Source organism: Homo sapiens, chromosome 1 (genome assembly GCF_000001405.40).
Source record: "Homo sapiens chromosome 1, GRCh38.p14 Primary Assembly".
Lineage (NCBI taxonomy): Eukaryota > Metazoa > Chordata > Mammalia > Primates > Hominidae > Homo > Homo sapiens.
The window spans coordinates 234,486,748-234,505,875 of NC_000001.11; the positions used below are offsets into that span (position 1 = coordinate 234,486,748).

At 43.8% G+C, this 19,128-nt stretch overlaps 7 annotated features.

Annotated features, from left to right (window-relative positions):
• Positions 303–392: a silencer, noted in NCBI's record as "silent region_1972". NCBI's record gives its function as "represses an Ori minimal core promoter by ATAC-STARR-seq in GM12878 lymphoblastoid cells {active_cell/tissue: GM12878}" and the evidence as "EXISTENCE:reporter gene assay evidence [ECO:0000049][PMID:35858748]".
• Positions 1,816–1,875: an enhancer, noted in NCBI's record as "active region_2752". NCBI's record gives its function as "activates an Ori minimal core promoter by ATAC-STARR-seq in GM12878 lymphoblastoid cells {active_cell/tissue: GM12878}" and the evidence as "EXISTENCE:reporter gene assay evidence [ECO:0000049][PMID:35858748]".
• Positions 8,388–8,597: an enhancer, noted in NCBI's record as "active region_2753". NCBI's record gives its function as "activates an Ori minimal core promoter by ATAC-STARR-seq in GM12878 lymphoblastoid cells {active_cell/tissue: GM12878}" and the evidence as "EXISTENCE:reporter gene assay evidence [ECO:0000049][PMID:35858748]".
• Positions 12,376–12,670: an enhancer, noted in NCBI's record as "tiled region #12347; K562 Activating DNase matched - State 5:Enh". NCBI's record gives its function as "activates a minimal TATA promoter and a strong SV40 promoter by Sharpr-MPRA in K562 cells {active_cell/tissue: K562}" and the evidence as "EXISTENCE:reporter gene assay evidence [ECO:0000049][PMID:27701403]".
• Positions 12,665–12,714: an enhancer, noted in NCBI's record as "active region_2754". NCBI's record gives its function as "activates an Ori minimal core promoter by ATAC-STARR-seq in GM12878 lymphoblastoid cells {active_cell/tissue: GM12878}" and the evidence as "EXISTENCE:reporter gene assay evidence [ECO:0000049][PMID:35858748]".
• Positions 12,755–12,804: an enhancer, noted in NCBI's record as "active region_2755". NCBI's record gives its function as "activates an Ori minimal core promoter by ATAC-STARR-seq in GM12878 lymphoblastoid cells {active_cell/tissue: GM12878}" and the evidence as "EXISTENCE:reporter gene assay evidence [ECO:0000049][PMID:35858748]".
• Positions 13,215–13,304: an enhancer, noted in NCBI's record as "active region_2756". NCBI's record gives its function as "activates an Ori minimal core promoter by ATAC-STARR-seq in GM12878 lymphoblastoid cells {active_cell/tissue: GM12878}" and the evidence as "EXISTENCE:reporter gene assay evidence [ECO:0000049][PMID:35858748]".

Sequence of the window (19,128 nt, forward strand, 5' to 3'; positions counted from 1 at the left end):
CAGGAGATTGAGGCTGCAGTGAGCTGTGATTACACCACTGCATTCCAGCCTGGGTAACAGAGTGAGACCCTGTCTCTACAAAAAAGAAAAAGAGCATTTGCATGGACTCACTGTTTGGGATTTTCAAGGCACACACTGCAGGTGCTTAACAGTCTTTTGTAATACCATGAGGGAAGCACTGGGCAAGGGCGCCATGGCACTGTGAGGGCTATAGGACTACGTAATGAATGATAACAATGTTGACCTGAGAGAGGTACACAGAGCTCCAACCCCACTGAAAAGATGCTTCTTAAATGCACAAATCTTGCATGCGTTCATGGTCCAGAATGCACAGGCAGTTGCATAACCAAAAACTAGCATCTGTTCAGAAGCTGACATTTCTCTGGACATTAGATGGTGCTGTTGTCAGCGCAGTGTGCTTTTTCCATCCTTTCAACTAAATGTTCATAGTTGCAAAGTGGAAAACAAGTATAAAAAGAAAGGAAATAGCAATTACATAGCAAGACTTCAGCTATAGCTTTCAGCTGTTTACGTCTAAGGCTCTAAGAAAGGGAAGGAGATTCTTGATAGGCTCTGTCTGAAATTTTTGCCTTCTGATGTTCCCCCGAAAGCCCTCAGAGAACCTCCGTGGAAAAATGCAGCTGCAGAATCATTAACACGTTTATGTTAAGTGCGATATCTAGAAAACTCAAATTCCCAGTGAGGATCTGTGGCAGACACCATTCATTATTAACCCCACAACCATCCTCCCTTCTCCCTCGCTGTCAAACCCTCATTTTTCTCAGGATGGCAACATACTGGCCCTTGGCCAATGGCTTATGTTTAGGCAGCAAACAGGACAAGCCTGTTCCCTGCTTCTCCAACCATCATTACAAGTCGGGCAATGGGTGCTCTCTGTGTCCTAGTCTTGGACAATGAGACATAAGCAGCAGTCTGCTAGGGATGTGTCTGGGAAAGCTTTTGCTTCTGATAAAAGGAAAGAAACCATTGTTGCCACAGTTCTCCTCTGTTCCTTCCTGCCTGATCACAGAGTGCTCTCTGGACCTATAGCTGCCAACTTGAACCCATGAGAGAACAAGCACGAGATGACAAACACCACAAGAAAAGTCGCAGGGGAGAAAACGCAGAGGGAACCTGGGTTCCTTGAAGCCATTCAACCAATGCTAGCAAATATCTATTTCTTGATAGTCTATAATATGAGAAAAATAAGTCCCTGTTTGTTCAAGCTTCCCTTGTTGAGTTTTCTATATTTCTCTCTGGTACAGGACTCCCACCCAGTTGCTTATCATTTAGTCCTGCTAGCTCCATTAGTTTTGACCACCTCCCGCTTTCCAGGGTTAGGGGCCTCTTCCTAACGGATTGCCACCATCATTTCTGCCTTGAAACTGACATTCACTGTTGCCCAGACTTGATCGTTTAGACCTATAAAGAAACAGAAACCAACAAGTAGAATCACCAGAAATCTTTAATCACTGGGAGACACATGTTCATACTGAATGCCTGGGCCTCACCCCAGACCAATTCATCTAGAAACTCTGAGTACAGGGCACAATCATCTATACATTTTTTTAAGGTTCCACAAGTGGATTGAGAACTGCTGGTCTTACTCATACGTTCCCCACTCACATGGCAGATATGCATAATAAATTGCCAAGGAAAGGAGGGAAAATAGTTAAGTATTGGGATAAGCCATCCTTTCAACATTCAGCAAATCATTCCATTATATATAGATACTGTCTCACCTTGGCTTGGTCGGCCTTGCTCTTTGGCTGATGGACATAAAGAGAAGCACGGACTACTTAGAGGTTCACTGGACTAACCAAAGGGAGGAAAGGGTGGCCCGCCCAATCTCATGGTGTCTCCAAGACCATGTTCATATCATACTGACTGCTTCTGTGTGTGTCGCCTGAGACTCCAGTAAAACTGCTATGAACAATTGGAGTCACCAAATTTCCCATCAGTTTGTCTTTTAAACACAATCTAAAAGCATTTTAAAAAGAAAAAAAAAGTTCTTATTTCTGCTACTAGCTACTTTCATTTCCTTTTTTTTTTTTTGCTTTTCTGCAAACAAACCAAAAAAAAGCCTATGCTTAAGTGGGCTGCACCGTGTCAGTATCTGTAAGGTAATCCATGGAGGCTCCTTCTGGTCCTGGGTCTGGCTTCTTTAGTCTTCAGTCAAATCCATAAGGGTTTGGCAGGCAGAGAATGCAGGATTAAGCCTGCCCATCCAGCCTGCTTCTGAGGCAAAATCAGAATTCTCAGGCTCTCTGCCACTGTCAGAATCGCTCACTCTTCTGCTTCTGACAGAGGAAAGAGATGGCAATAGATTCAGTCACACAAGGATTCCTGTTAAATGATGAATTGTGATGCCATAGAAGGCCGCACATCACTGCGGGGAGAAGTCAAAGCCCAGGGAGTTCTCGCCAGTGTGAGCACGCCAGAGGGGCCTTTAATAGCTGCATTTGCAATAAAGAAGGAGGTGAAATCCATTACCGGCTGTCTTTATTTTGCTAGCCCACTGATAAGCGATTGAAGTCTAGAGAAAGCGCTTCCAAGCACGTTTTACCTGCTCCATTTAGCCAGAGACTTGGACATATCAGGCCAATCAAATCATCACCAATAGCAGGAGCTACGGAGGTACTAATAGCTTTTCCTGGAATACTGGGAATTCCCTTTCCCTACTTTGTAAGTAGGTATCCTTAGAGAGGGTCTGGCAGAGAGTTTTAAATTTTTGTACCAGGACTCAGAGCCAGAGGGCACTGACTGCCTATTAAGTAGACGTTACTGATTCCTCAGGAGGGTGTGACAGGCTCTTAAGGTGAGCTACTGAAACAGTTTTCAAGGTTTCCCACTTGAGGTAGTGTATGGGTTTTTTTTTTTTCTACTTAGGGCAAAAATGGCTTACACCTCACAAAACAGATGCCATTGGCATCAGTCCCCTCTGCAAGGCAGTTTGCAGGCTTTGTCCTAGTTCTCCTGCAGTGTGGCATCTATGTTTTCTTCCCACTTAAACATGTTGTCTGCTGGGTTCTTTCTTGGTAAATGAGGATGTTTTAGGATGACAGTAACACTATACTGGTGAACTCTTAAGTAAGACAGATTGCCCCCCATAGTGTGGGTGGGCCTCATGCAATCAGTTGAAAATGTGAATAGAACAGAAAGATCAGCCTCCCAAGCAAAGGGGAATTCCACCAACGGACAGCCTTCAAACTTCATCTGCACCATCAGCTCTCCTGGGTCTCCAGGCTGCCAGCCAATAGTGCACATTGGGACTTGCCAGCCTCTATAATCGCATGAGCCAATTCCTTGTAATAAATCTCTTTCTATATACGCATACATCTTATTGGTTCTGTTTCTCTGAAGAATTCTACTACACAAGAGTTCCCAAACTCTTACGTTCTTCTGAAGGCATTGTTTATCGAATGTCATAAAGTAAAAAGGAAAAGACATCTTTGCTGAAAGTGTTGAGATGTTCAGTTTAAAGATTGATGTGTTTTTATTTTTTCATTTTTATATATTATTGTTACTATTATTATTATTATTTTGAGACGGAGTTTTGCTCTTGTTGCCCAGGCTGGAGTGCAATGACACAATCTTGGCTCACCGCAACCTCTGCCTCCCGGATTCAAGCGATTCTCCTACCTCAGCCTCCTAAGTAGCTGGGATTATAGGCATGCGCCACCACACCCAGCTAATTTTTTTTTTTTTTTTTTGTATTTTTAGTAGAGATGGGGTTTCTCCATGTTGGTCAGCCTGGTCTCGAACTCCCAACCTCAGGTGACCCACCTGCCTCAGCCTCCCAAAGTGCTGGGATTACAGGCATAAGCCACCTCGCCTGGCTAGATTGGTGTGTTTTTAAGCTGGTTTTGAGATGGAGTCTCGCTCTGTTGACCAGGCTGGAGTGCAGTGACGCGATCTCGGCTCACCGCAACCTCTGGCTCCCGGGTTCAAGCGGGTAATCTCATATCTTACTAATGATGAGTGGTTTTATTTTTTAAGTTCAGTGTTGCTCCCATCAGCTAATAAATACTTCAATGTTTCTGAGTCTGTAGGAAATAGGTGCTATTTAACTATTTAACTTTTCTCGATCTAGCAGTCAATTAGTCAAGATGGATTTCCGCCTCTGTCTGCTATATACTCCCTGTGCATTTCACAAAAGCCCTGTGACAGGGCAGGTTTATCTTCCTCCCCCTTTCCCTGTGCCAGCACCTACCCAGGCTAAGGAAAATGAAGGGAGCTTGTCATGTGAGCCAGGCATGGGAAGGAGACAGCCAGGTGCGTAGCATAAGGCCGTAAAGGAGATATACCAGCAGGAGGTAGGTTTTTTCAGTGTGAAAGGATGAATTGTTTTTTAGATACTTTACCCAGAGACCAAACCTTGGAAGAAACCTCTTCCTGTTTGCCTCCTCCATCCTCAAAATTGAAGACCTCCTCCCCACTCCTTTACACACACACACACACACACACACACACACACAGAGAGAGAGAGAGAGAGAGAGAGATACACACAGAGCACCCCACCCCTTATCTGGCAGCAGATAAGAACACAAAAAGCCTGAGCATCTTATCAGCAGGAGACCTGAAACTAGACCAAGAAGACTTTGGGGGTAGGTGGAGTGAGGGAGGGGGGCTGTGTAAGCAAAAGTGTTAAAGCACAAAGAAACAGTGAGAGAATGATAATAGTAAGTTATTGCAAAATGTACTGCCCCATCATCCCCACCCAATTCCTTTTGCTAGGAGGAGCAAAATGCTGGGTTTGGCTGTAAAGGAAGTAAAAGAAATAGTCCTTGATCTTATTTGCATTCAGTTTGAAAATCTAGGTATCAGTACACTAGCACCAAATCTAGTATTCTTTGGGCAATTTCTTTTCGTAGCTAGAGATGACACTACGAAAAATATTAATGTCTATATGAATGAGCAGGGCTGTGCAGTTTAGCACTCGACCACAGTTCTCTATAAATACTGATGCCCACCAGTTGGGAACTATAGTGGTGGGTTTGTTTGTTTGTTTGTTTGTTTTGTGATGGAGTTTTGCTCTTATTGCCCAAGCTGGAGTGCAATGGTACAATCTCGGCTCACCGCAACCTCTGCCTCCCGGGTTCAAGCGATTCTCCTGCCTCAGTCTCCTGAGTAGCTGGGATTACAGGCATGCACCACCATGCCCGGCTAATTTTGTATTTTTAATAGAGACAGGGTTTCTCCATGTTGGTCAGGCTGGTCTCGAACTCCTGACCTCAGGTGATCTACCCGCCTTGGCTTCCCAAAGTGCTGAGATTACAGGCATGAGCCACCACGCCCGGCCAGTGGTGGTTTTTGAAGAGCTTGTTGCTGCTAATAACTTTGCCCCCTTTTTTTGTGCCAGGGGCCATCCAATGGCTACACTCAAATGAATTTACGTTGCCTAGGTTCTTAGCAGTTTTCATGCCCCTGAAGATGTAAAAAAGTGTCAAGATCGGTAAGAACAACGTGAGATCCAGCAGATATTGGCATGCCTGTGATGCTCCAGGCACTGTACTGGGGCAGTTACTATCCCTGGCCTCTCCAGGGAGCTTACAGTCTAGTTTATTTTTGTCTGTTTGGCTGCTAGAAGACAATGTCATAGACTGGGTCACTTATAAACAACAGAAATTTATTTTCCACCGTTCTGGAGGATGGGAAATCCTAGATCAGCGCAGTGACACATTTGGTGTCTGGTGAGGCCCCTCTCTTAGGTTGTAGAGGGCTGACTTTTCAGTGTATTCTCACACAACAGAAGGGGCAAGGCAGCTTTCTGGGTTTTTTTTTTATAAGGGCACTAATCCCATTTATGAGGGCTCTGCCCTCATGACCTGATTACCTCCCAAAGGCCCCACTTTCTAATACCATCACCTTGAGGGTTAAGATTTTGACATGTGAATGTGAGGGGACACAACATTCAGTCTGTAGAATAGTCCAAATAGTTTTATGGAAAATTAATAATTTTATTTTTATTTATTTATTTGAGACACAGGGAGACTCTGTCACCCAGGCTGGAGGGCAGTGGAGCAATCTTGGCTCACTGCAACCTCCACCTCTGGAGTTCAAGCAATTCTCCTGCCTCAGCCTCCCAAATAACTGGGATTACATGCACCTGTCACTATAGCTGGTTAATTTTTGCATTTTTAGTAGAGACAGGGTTTCGCCATATTGGCCAGGCTGGTCTCGAACTCCTGACTTCAGGTGATCTGCCCACCTCAGCCTCCCAAAGTCCTGGGATTACAGGCATGAGCCACTGTGCCTGGCCAAATTAATGATTTTATAACAACCACTATGCAAAAGAAGCAAAGAACATGCTGAGAGCCTATGATGAGATGCTTCACCCCAGTCTGTGCAGTAGGACTGGCTTTTCTGATCAATGGTGTTGTCAGAGGTGTTTGAAACAGAGCAACTTTATGTCGAGTAGGGGCTCGGTAAAATGAGGCTGAGACCTACTGGGCTGCGTTCCCAGATGGTTAAGGCATTCTAAGTCACAGGGTGAGACAGGACGTCAGCACAAGATACAGGTGATAAAGACCTTGCTGATAAAACAGGTTACAGTAAATAAGCTGGCCAAAACCAAGAGGGCGACGAGAGTGACCTCTGGTCGTCCTCACTAATACACTCCCACCAGTGCCATGACAGTTTACAAATGCCATGGCAATGTCAGGAAGTTACCCTATATCGTCTAAAAAGGGGATCCATGAATAATCCACCCCTTGTTTAGCATATCATCAAGAAATAACCATAAAAATGGGCAGCCAGGAACCCTCAGGTCTGCTCTGTCTACGGAGTAGCAATTCTTTATTCCTTCACTTTTCTAATAAACGTGCTTTCACTTTATGGACGTGCCTTGAATTCTTTCTTGTGCGAAACCCAAGAACCCTCTCTTGGATCGGGACCCGTTTCCTGTAATAGTGTGTCAGCTGATATCTACAGAAAGAGGGAGTCAACTAGACTAGAATTGAGTAAAAAGCCTCCTCCACCCCCAGGGGAAACTATGTGGAAACCCCAAGGCAGTTGGGAGCAGGGAAGAAGGAGAGTGGGGAAGGCCAAACGAATGGAGTTGACAGAGGAGGCAGGACAGGTGGGCACCCCAGGCCAGGTAGGACAATCAGCCATGAATATCAGACTCATTCTAGGTGGGAAGCGACTGTAGGGTTGTTTGAGGAGAAGAGGGAATGGTGACTGCTTTGATTTGCATGTTCAAAAGTATAACCATTAGGTTGAAAGAGCAGGATCCCAAATGTGTAGGAGAAATCACTCACCAACTCCTTGATTCAACATTCCAGGGTTATTCCTTCTTTTCTTCTTAGAAAAAATTAGTAGAATACACGTAACTTAAAATTTACCATCTTAACCATGTTTAAGGGAACAGGTCAGTGGCATTAAGTACATTCATATTGTTGTGCGACCATCTTGCAAAATTGAAACTCTCTGCCTATTAAAAACTAACTTCTGATTCCCCACTTCCCCAACCCCTGGTGACCACTTTCTCTCTCCTCTATGAATATGACTCCCCTAGGTACCTCATATTAGTAGAATCACACAGTATTTGCCCTTTCGTGACTGGCTTATTTCACTTAATATAATGTCCTCAAGGTTCATCCATTTTGTAGCATGCATCCGAACTTCCTTTCTTCCTAAGGCTGAATGATATTTCATTGTATGTGTGCCATGTTTTGTGTATCCATTCATCCATCAGTGAACTCTCGAATTGCTTCCACCTTTTGACTATTATGAATAATGCTGCTATGGACATGGGTGTACAGACAGACAAGGCCCTGCCTGCAATTATTTTGTAAATATACCCTCAAAGGCTTTTTCTTGAATCCTGATTCTGGGAATTACACTATACTAAACACTATGGGGGTTTAGAAACCTAACTATGACAGTCTCTGACACCCCAAAGAGACAGGAAAATGCCCCCACCCCTCTCTCTGCAGCTTTCAGTGGAGTAAATAAATAAGTGGTGACTGATGTGATTAAAAAGACAGAACTAGTTAACAGGACTGGGTAAGATGCTTAGGTCAAGTCAATAAAAGATGAAGAACCACTGGAGGGTTTTTGTTTGCTTGCTTGCTTGGTAAATTGGTTGGTTAGTTGGTTGTCTGATTTGTTAAAAAATTAAATTAAGTTAAACATAGAAGCACCTGAACTGAATTAGGCTACAGAAAAATCCCACCAGAGTCCATATGTAGGATGAATTGGAGAAGGAGGGGAAACTGGAGACAGAGGGCCTAGAGAGGAGGCTGTGGTAATAGCCCAGACAAGAAAAAATCAGGGTCTTAAATGACACCGTATCAGTGGCCATGGAAAGAAAGGACTCTTTCTTTGAGGTTAGTGCCCATTTGCGATTGGTTGACCCTGATTTCAGCAAGATCTGGTCTCTGAGCCCACAATGTGCCTCTACCTTCTGGACTGTCAGCCTCTGTCAGAGGTAGAACATTTCTTCCCCTAGGGGATCCTTCCATGAAGAAACATCTCCATCTGCTTCATCTCCTGCTTCCTTGTGACCAAATGAAATCCACCCAGGAGAGCTCTGCATCACACACCAACGGTCTCAGGGCTGTTTCCAGCAGCAGCTTTGAAGGACAGCTTCTCCGAGCAGGAACTCCCACTGGGCAACTCAAGAAGCCTCTAGGCGACTCAGTCCCTTTAGCTATTTTTAGTGTGCCTTTTACATTCAGAAACTGGAAACCTTCTGTACAAACTCATTTTTTTTCTGCTTCCCTCAGGCAGAAAGTTTCAATCTTAAACCTTCATGCTAAATGACACAATGTTTGAGAATTTAGCTTACTTTCTTTCCTCATTGTTACCGCACTATTCATACCTCTAAGTATGCAAAGAGCTCTGAATCTTACAGTTCCGGCTCAAGCAGCAGTCAAATTGCAATGAATGAGGTCTCTAACTGTATTAAGACCATGATGTCAAGCTGGGGGTGGGGTGGGGAGGGTGTGCAAAACTATACAGTCATTGAGGGACACAAACTTCAACCTCCACCTCCACCCCAAACACACTACAAAAAGTAATGCCTTAAGCTTGAACATGAGCACCGTGTAAGAGGTCCTCACGTCCAGAGTTTGTCCTAAAAGATCTTTCTTTCCTTTCCTTTCCTTTCCTTTCTTTTCCTTTCCTTTCCTTTCTTTTCCTTTCCTTTTCTCTTTCTTTCTTTCTCTTTCTTTCTTTTTTCTTTTTCTTTCTTTCTTTCTTTCCTCTCTCTTTTCTTTTCTTGTTTTTTTTTTGTTTTTGTTTTTTTTTTTTTTTTTTGAGATGGAGTCACACTCTGTCACCCAGGCTGGAGTGCAGTGGCATGATCTCAGCTCACTGCAACCTCCTGCTCCCGGGTTCCAGCGATTCCTCTGCCTCAGCCTCCTGAGTAGCTGGGACTACAGGCACCCGCTACCACACCTGGCTAATTTTTGTATTTTTTAAGTAGAGGCAGGGTTTCACCATATTGGCCAGGTTGGTCTTGAACTCCTGGCCTCAGGCGATCCGCCAGCCTAGGCCTCCCAAAGTGCTGGGATTACAGGTGTGAACCACCACACCTGGCCATAAAATTTTATTTTTTAAAGAGCATTCTTTAGGAATAGGATATAACTAGCTTAAAAAAAAATCTACTTTAACATCTTATTTGCTTGGTACTATTAAGAATTCTAGAAGAAATTGAGCCATGTGACAGTAGAAACATTAATGTTTCATGTTCCATTTACTTTTTTTTTTTTTTTTTTTTTTGAGACATGCTGGAGTGCAGTCGCATGATCACAGCTCACTGCAGCCTCGATCTCCTGGGCTCAAGCCATCCACCCACCTCAGCCTCCCTAGTAGCTGGGACTACAAGCATATGCCACCATACCCAGCTGATTTTTTTCTTTTTTTTCATAGACCTGAGGTTTCTCCATGTTGCCTAGGCTGGTCTCAAACTCCTGGACTCAAGCAATTGGCCAGCCTCAGCCTCCCAATCATTTACTTTTTCTTACTTGCAGTACCCACTGCAGAAAGTCAGACTACTAACAAACGTCTATAATTGGCTAATCTCTGAAGTACTGGAAAAACATCCAGAAGAATAGGACATGAAGCTGACAACACGCTTCATGAGGAATATGACATAAACTTATCCCCCCTTGCCCAGTTTTTTACTTTGAAAATTGTCAAACATATGGAAAAGTTCAATGAATAGTACACCATTCAAGGGCACCATACTTCACCTAGATTCACTAGTTGTTTATAGTTTACCAATTTTCCTTCTCTTCCTCCATCTTTCCTCCTATATATGTGATGTATGTGTGAGTATTTACAGACACACACACATTTATATTCATATACGCCAAACCATTTGAAAACAAATTGTAAGCATGATGCCACTTCACCTTGTCACACGAACAGCCTGGCTGCTCACACAAAGCCTGTTCGTGGACTCTCTTCACGTGGACGCGCGTGACACACCTTAAGTGCTTTAATATGTACTCCTAAGAGCAAAAACATTGTCTTTTATAATCCCAGTGCCATTATTACACTCAAGAAACCTAACATTGATATTTTAAGGGACACTTTTTCAAAAAAAAGGTAAAATTATGACTCGTACAGATACTAAAAAAAAAAGTTAAAGATTTATTCAATTCATTAATAATGAGGAAACTGCAAGACGCTACTGCCAGTTCAAAAGATAATCCAAAGAAGACACACATTTATTGATAAGGATACTGAAAGGAATAAGCAAACTGAGGCAAAACTGGCTGCTTCTTGTCTGTGGTCAAGGATTGTTTTGCATTGTTATCCATGATCTACAATTTATTGAGTTGTAAAATAACTCAAAGGCCGTGAAAGGTGCAGAGCCCCTATAGGATCAAAATTAGATAACCCTGAAGGGTGGGTGGGTGGGTTCTAGACCTTTTCCTATAAAGGGCTAGATTGTAAATGTTTTTGGTTTTGCAAGCCATATGGTTTTTGTACAGATACTCAACTGTCAGTGAACATGCAAGTAATCTTAGACAATATGTGAAGGGTGAATGCTGCTGTGTGCCAATAAACTTTATTTACAAACACAGGTGGCCAGCTGGATCTGGCTCACTGGTTGTAGTTTGCCAACCCTGCTCTAAACAATGCATAATTTTCCATTGAAGCATACATTTTACCCTACAGATGCAACAATAAGATGTTGTTACGGGCTGAATTGTGGCTCCCCAAAATTCCTTTGTTAAAGTCCTAACCCCTAGTACCTCTGAATGTAACTGTAGTTGGACATAGGGACATTAAAAGGGTGATTAAGGTAAAATGAGGTCATGTTGGTGGGTCCTAACCCAATATGACCGATGTCCTTATAAGAAGAGAAAATTAGGACTGGGCACAGTGGCTCATTCCTGTAATCTCAGCACTTTGGGAGGCTGAGGCAGAAGGATCACTTGAGCTCAGGAGTTTGAGACCAGCCTGGGCAACATAGTGAGACCCCCATCTCAAAAAAAAAAAAAAAAAAAAGAAGAAGGAGAAGAAGAAGAAACAATGAAGAAAAGAGAAGGCAACTAGGACACAGATAGGCACAGAGGGAAGACCATGTGGTAACACAGAGAGAAGACGACCATCTATAAGCCAAGGAGAGGGGCCTCAGAAGAAACCAACCCTGCCAACACATTGGCCTTGGATCTTCAGCATCCACAACCGTGAGGCAATATAATAGCCCTAGCAAACGAATGCAGATGTCTTCCAGTTTTAAAAAGACAGCTACATAATCTTGGGTCAAGTGAACAGGATGCTATTTTTCCTTAAAATTGTTTTATTAGATGCAATATTTGCAAGATACATTTCAAAGGTGGAGATAGGAGGAAGGTTTTGATGTCAAACAAGTTTAGAAACTATAGCAAACTGTAGTTCCTTCTTAGAAATCCACTACATTCTCAGTATGTGTCATGCTCCTGAGATATCCTGCAATCAGGTCTGTTTAACCTTTGCGTAACCCTGACTTTCCCAAACTTTGAATGCCTTTTCAAAAAGAGATACAATTCTGATTAATAACACCATCATTCTTGGAACACACTTTGGAAACACTAGTATGAACAAAATATGAGGCAAATATTCTAAGGATATAAAGATGCCTGTGGACTGAGCCTTGAGAACTGTGGGATTCACAAGGCTGGAAGGGAATACACGCGTTCCAGGTAGGGGCGAAGGGAAGACTCCTGTGGCCCGTCATGTGGCGTCATGATGTGGAAAGCAAGGCACAGAGGGGCCACACTGCCCAGAGCCGAGTGCTTATGTTGCTGTGTGATAGGAAGGCTGGTCCTGAAGGAAGGATCAGTGCCCCCTTGTCAAAGAGAACCTGAGGCTTTCAGTATCCAGTTGTAGAATAAGGAGTGGAATTCGGAACATCTGGCCCTCGGTGTCTTCCTTTGGGGGCCCTGGTGATCACTTCCAGCAGAACTTTATCGCCCGCAATGGGTTCCTTCTATGAGGTCTGTCAATGGGGTAAAAGCCCGGATGGTGCGCCCAATGTCAGCCCGAAGCCACCAGATGGCGCGCGGAACCCGCAATGCACGTGCGCCAGCCTCGCGTTTGTCCCCGCACTGGCCCCAGGCCTTGGGAAATGTGTCTTTCCCCAGCCTTTTTACACTTTAGGAAGCTCTTCTTTAGAGAAGCATGTGAAACACCCCCCTGCACAACTGTGCTCCTCCTGCCCTTCCCCTCCTGGGGACACATCAGCAGCCCTTCCCTGGTTTGAAGAGTTTCCAAGCCGAGGAGTCTCTTGCATGTTTGTTCTACTGGAACTCGAAGCAGGAAGCACTGAGCTTCCATTTTGTAACCCACGATCCTGGTGAAGACAATCGTTAGGGAAAAAACATCTTAAGGATTGTGTGTTAGGGCAACCTCATTTCTGGCGTGAAAACAAGCCCCGCAAACACCCTGTTGTTACTCTGGTGTTCTGACTGCAAACACGGGGGGATGTAAGATTTTTACCTAATCCCAAACCTCGGCCCTGAAGAGTTAATGATGTTACTCATGCCACTGGGGCACAAAAGAAAGACTTGCATGTTCGGGTGGTTATGGCTTGCCCAGAGCGGTGGAATGAGCCATAAGGCTGAAGGCCAAGGGACTCGGGCCACCCATGCAGTGAAATAATCCCCCAGAAATGCGGTGCCGGGAGTGGAAATGAAAGTAAAGAGAACAGTCATTCCAGGGCATTGGCTAAACCTGACTAAACCTGACTGATCATCAAGCCTAAAGTTCTCTCGACTCCCAAAACTGCAAATCTCAGATTTTGGGAGGTACTGCGTAGAAACCAGGAAATGACAGAAATCAAGCAGTTGGAACACTGTTCTTGTCCAACTCTGGGTCTTAAGCTCTGTTCTCATTTTCAGTTCCAAAAGCAATGAATAATTAATAAGGTAGTTTTTGAATGGAAAGCACATTTCAATGGATGAGTGATGATTTCCGAAGGGCCTCTGACAGTTTCTGTTTATTTCCTTCCTTCTTTCTCTTTTTGAAATAAAACCGTGGAAGTGAAGACTGAAGCAATATTCAAATATACAACAGCCTGCATGTTTGACCCATCAGAAACTTGCACCAATAATGAAAAGCAGGATCTAATATCTACCTTGGCACCTGCTGTATGCCTCACACTCTGTTCCGTGTTTTTATGGAAGTGATGTCTCATTTAATCCTCACAGTCATGGCTTGGTAGTTGGCACTGGCCCAGGTTTTTAGATGAGGACTCTAGGCTCCTATGAGGTTAAGCAGCTCACCCAAAGTCACACAACTAGTAAACTTGAGAACTAGGAATTGGAACTAGGTATATCTGATTTCAAAGCCTCAGTTCCTCTTCCTTTGCCCATGCATTTCACAGACTCATGGGACCTCATGGAGTTAGAAGGGATCTGGGAGGGCATTTAGACGAATGCTCTAAATAATGCATGAATCTCTTTTCCAGCATTCTCTGTAAGTTGAAAGCTAAACAAGTGTGAATGTGCCTGAAATCAAAAGCTGAAGCTGAAAAAGAAGTCAGAGAAAGACTTCAGAATTCAGATAGAGGGCCTAAAATACATGTAATAGATTTTGTTCCTATTTTCTCTAAAAGTGGGACAGATGTATATATTTAAGTCTGTGAGAAGGCCAACAATGCACCTAAGGAATGAGTCCAGACTGTTGTTCTCTTAGCCCAGCTCAAACGGGAATAGTTGAAGAAAAATGACTAGGAAAAGAAGGCACGTGCTGGTATGGATGGGATGTCTCTGATATCCTGAAGATATGTGCACTGTAATTCAAAGAGATTCAGAGAAATGCCACTGTTTCAGCATACACATCCTCAGGTCCTGGAATGATAAGGCAAAAAGCTCTGCTCTCCCCCAATACTAGGGAAAGGTAACTAAGTGAGAGCAGGTGACCAGCCTCGGGCCACATAGCAAGGAGGTGGCAGAGCTAGAAATAGAACCAAGTGCTGAGTGTCTTGGTTGTGCCGTGGTGCTGCTCACCCTTGCTACCTCACACATCTTCCGTCATGACTGGCTCTGTGTGAATTTGGAAACTCAAAACCAGGTTTCAGTTTTCATTACATACTGGAAACTTGGCCTTGGATCACAAGAAGTTCACTATGGGGGCCGGGCATGGTGACTCACGCCTGTAATCACAGCACTTTGGGAGACCAAGGTGGGCGGATCATGAGGTCAAGAGATGGAAACCATCCTGGCCAACATGGTGAAACCCCGTCTCTACTAAAACTACAAAAATTAGCTGGGCGAGGTGGCACGCGCCTGTAGTCCCAGCTACTTGGGAGGCTGAGGCAACAGAATCGCTTGAACCCAGGAGGCAGAGGTTGCAGTGAGCCGAGATTGCGCCACTGTATTCCAGGCTGGCGACAGAGCCAAACAAAACAAAACCAAACAAAAAAAAATTCACTATGGTTTGTGAACCTTTCAAGCAAATGGAGCCAGGTTTCTGTCATGCGTCGACCCCCACCAATGCCAGGAGGGATGGATGGATTTGAGTGGGAATCAGGCACAATTCCATCAACGTGGTATTGACATGTCCCGGAGTGCATGCTGGCCTGGAAGGACACCTGGAAACGGGGGCCCTCTACAAATCCCAGGTGCCGTGGAGTCTTTCAGAGCCAGTCAGGGAATAACTTGGGGAGAGAGAGAGAGAAAAGGAGGGAATGATTTAGGAGGTGTGCATATTCATTTGCAAATGAAGTTATGGAAGTTGCTAGTGAGATTTTTATTGGTAATTAAGTGATAATGCCTGTGTAAAGCTGCTAGAGTTGGAATTCCTGTAAAATACTGAAGGGACTGAGGCCCTTTTGAGAAATGTCTTATTGTTTAGCATTTTCAGAAACAATTTAGGTTTCTGTAGTATCTTATATCCTGTAACTAGTAACTCCTCAAAGCATTCTTGCGAGGCAGGTCGCTGGGCTAACCTATTTGTGCACCTCCAAAGATTGTTCATTTACATGTAGAGGGTATGTTAGATGACACCTCTCTCTCTCTCTGTGACACACACACACACACACACACACACACACACACACGCTAGGATAGAGGATCAAATGTCCTTCACATGGCATGGCCAGGTAGAGAGTGTTTTGTTTTGTTTTAAATCATTAAGATCCTGTATATGATTAGCTTGAGATAATCCAGTTTAATTAGTGGAATTAGAGGAATTAGGAAGGATCCAGGTATGGTGACTACTGAAAGACCTTGAAAGAATTTATGTTTGGGGCCGGGTGCGGTGGCTCATGCCTGTAATCCCAGCACTTTGGGAGGCCAAGGCACGTGGATCACTTGAGGTCAGGAGTTCGAGACCAGCCTGGGCAACGTGGTGAAACCCCATCTCTACAAAAAATACAAAAAAAAAAAAAAATTAGCCAGGTGTCGTGGCACACGCCTGTAATCCCAGCTAGTCAGGAGGCTGAGGCAGTAGACTCACTTGAACCCAGGAAGCATAGGTTGCAGTGAGTCAAGATCGTACCACTACGCTCCAGCCTGGGTGACAGAATGAGACTCCATCTCAAAAAAAAAAAAAAAAAGAAAGAAAGAAAGAAAAAAAGAATTAGCATTTGAACTGCTATGACTGCTATGTAAAAAAGTAATCACTTTCTTCCCTTGCTGGCTGGCAGAGGTGGCCCCAACATCCACAAGGCTGGGAGAAAGTATCAAAGGAGAAAATCAAGAACCTGGCCCCAGTTCAAACTGGATAGTAAGCCCTTGATTAATTAATAACTGCCTCTTCTGTAAATATTATTTGATATTGAGAGAGAGACTCACTTATCTACAAATGTGCCTTGTCTGTAGTGAGAGGTCAGCCAGGACAGGTAGGTCAGAGGGTGAAGTCCAAACTAAGCAATTCCAATGTATCAATTTTTTCAAGAGCATACTTTATTGTTGTTAACATATAAAAAGAAAATATGTTAAATTAATACATATCTAATCAAAAGTCTAAAAGAGTAGTGTGCTCACATACCAACCATGCTGGAACTCAGCTCTTATTAGCTACCTGTTCATGTGGGAGGTGGGTACATGTGAACATGCCTGATATAATGTCAGGGTGTGGGCACGCCTCCAAAAGTTAGAGGGTCTGGGCTCCAGGAAGTGGGTAATGCAGCCCTGGGCACTGGGGGAGGAGAGTGAAAAAATGAGCCATTAGGGTCAGAAAGGAAAAGGGAGAGAAAATTTGGGAACAGGAAAGGCGTTTCATTTTAAGCACCTGGTGCTTAATCCAGGATTTTGTAACACATCCTCACTTTTTCTGGAGGTTCCTAGATTATATCCCCTAAAAATACCATAAGTTTCCTAAGCCCAGATGATGTAATAATCCATGTTTCATGGACTTCCCTCTGCCATTGGCTGGTTGTTCTGTTGTTTTCTGGAGAATAAAGTGACTATGGAGATCTTGAAGGTGATGGACACTTAACCAAGGCCTGTTAATGAAAATATGAAGGGTATTTTGGAGATGACTATTTGCTAGGAGTTTCCAGAGATGAACTGAATTGTCGCATTATCTGTACTATTATTAGTCACAGACTTTATCCATTTTTTCCTTCCCTTGTTTAGCTAATTCTAGTACTTCCTGAGGGATGTTAGTTTTAAATTTACTACTGATGGCCAAGACTAAGTTTCAGGCCAAAAATCTTAGTTCTTGCAAGACTATAAAGCCAAGTCATCTTTTGGAATTATCCAAAGACGTATAACAGAGGACAGGAGAAAACAAATGTCACCCACTCATTTAAACACACAAATACACATTTATAATGGCCACCACACACTGAAAATTTACTAGATGAGTGACACTCCACTGTGCCCATTTAATAATGGGATCAATGAACAACTGAATAAACCGATTGCTGTATTTTGATTGCTAGCTCCTCTTTTTTCCTCACTCCTTGTTCCCATTGTCCTTTTAGCTTCTTTATGCTCTGTTTTAGCAAGCTCATCAAAGATTTAAACATCTGCTTTTTGTCAAAACATCTCAAATTTATATTATTTTCTGTGACCTTTCTCCTGTGCCTATAAGATATCTTTACCTATCTGATATGGGTTGGCTGTGTCCCCATGCAAATCTCATCTTAAATTGTAGCTCCCATAATTCCCATGTGTCGTGGGAAGGACCCAGTGGGAGGTAATTGAATCATGGGGGTAGGTCTTTCCGTGCTATTCTTGTGACAGTGAATAAGTCTCATGAGATCTGATGGTTTTATAAATGGGAGTTCCCCTACACAAGCTCTCTCTTGCCTGCTGCCATGTAAGATGTGACTGCTCCTCCTTTGCTTTCTGCCATGGTTGTGAGGCCTCCTCAGCTGGGTGGAACTGAGTCCATTACCCCTTTTTCCTTTATAAATTACCCAGTCTCGGATATGTCTTTTATTAGCAGCATGAGAACAGACTAATACACTGTGAACCCCGAAAATTTGAGGTAGGTCTCGGTTAATTTGGAAAGTTTATTTTGCCAAGGTGAGGACATGCCCGTGACACGGCCTCAGGAAGTCCTGATGACATGTGCCCAAGGTGATCAGGGCACAGCTTGGTTTTATACATTTAGGGAGACATGAGACATCAATCAATATATGTAAGAAGTACATTGGTTTAGTCTGGAAAGGTGGGACAACTTGAAGCAAAGGCAGGAAGACTCAAAGTGGGAGGGAGCTGCCAGGTCACAGACAGGTGATCCATTCTTTTGAGTTTCTGATTAGCCTTTCCAAAGGAGGGAAATCAGATATGCATCTATCTCAGTGAGCAGAGGAGTGACTGTGAATAGAATGGGAGGCAGGTTCGTCCTAAGCAGTTCTGGGCTTGAGTTTTCCTTAGTGATTTTGGGGGTCCAAGATGTCTTCCTTTCACCACACTATCCCAGCCATAACATGAGAGAGAACAGAGCAGAGAGAGAGAGAGAGCTAGTGTGAGCTCTGGCTAACCACTTACTGGCTCAGCCACCTGGGTAATTCGCTGCATCTTTTGGCCTCAGTTCTTTTTTCAGTTAGATTTCATTCTCTGGAACCACATGATGGGTTGCATTGTGTTTCCCAAGAAGAAATGCTGAAGTCCTAACCTCAGTACCTGTCAACATGACCTTATTTGGACATAGGGTCTTTGCAGATGTAGCCAAGTTAAGATGAGGTATGCTGGAGTAGAGAGGGCCCTTAATTCAATATGACTGGTGCACTTACTAAAGGAGGAGAGATGCCGAGACACAGACACAGGAGGGGGCAGGCCATGGGAAGACAGAGATTGAAGTGCTGCAGCTACAAGTCAAGGAGCACCTAGGGTTATCAGCATCACCAGAAGCTAAAAGAGGCAAGAAAGGACTCTCCCCTGCAGGTTTCAGAGGGAGTGGGTCCTGCTGACACCTCGATCTCAGATTTCTAGTCTCCAGAACTGTGAGACAATAAACTTGTGTTGTTTCAAGCCACCCAGTTTGTAGTGCTTTGTTCCTGGCACTCCTAGGAAATGAAGACAGTGCTATGGGGGAGGAGTTGAAGACCCTGGGCTTTGAAATCAGATGTGGATTTGAATGAAGTTTCAATCACATACCAGTTGATGATGATTTGGGCACATTTCTCACTAAGTCTCATTTCTTTCTTGAAACCTAAGTGGCCCATAAAAGGGAAATGATGAAACTAATCTTGTTAGAAGGGCTATTGCAAAATGAAATGAGACA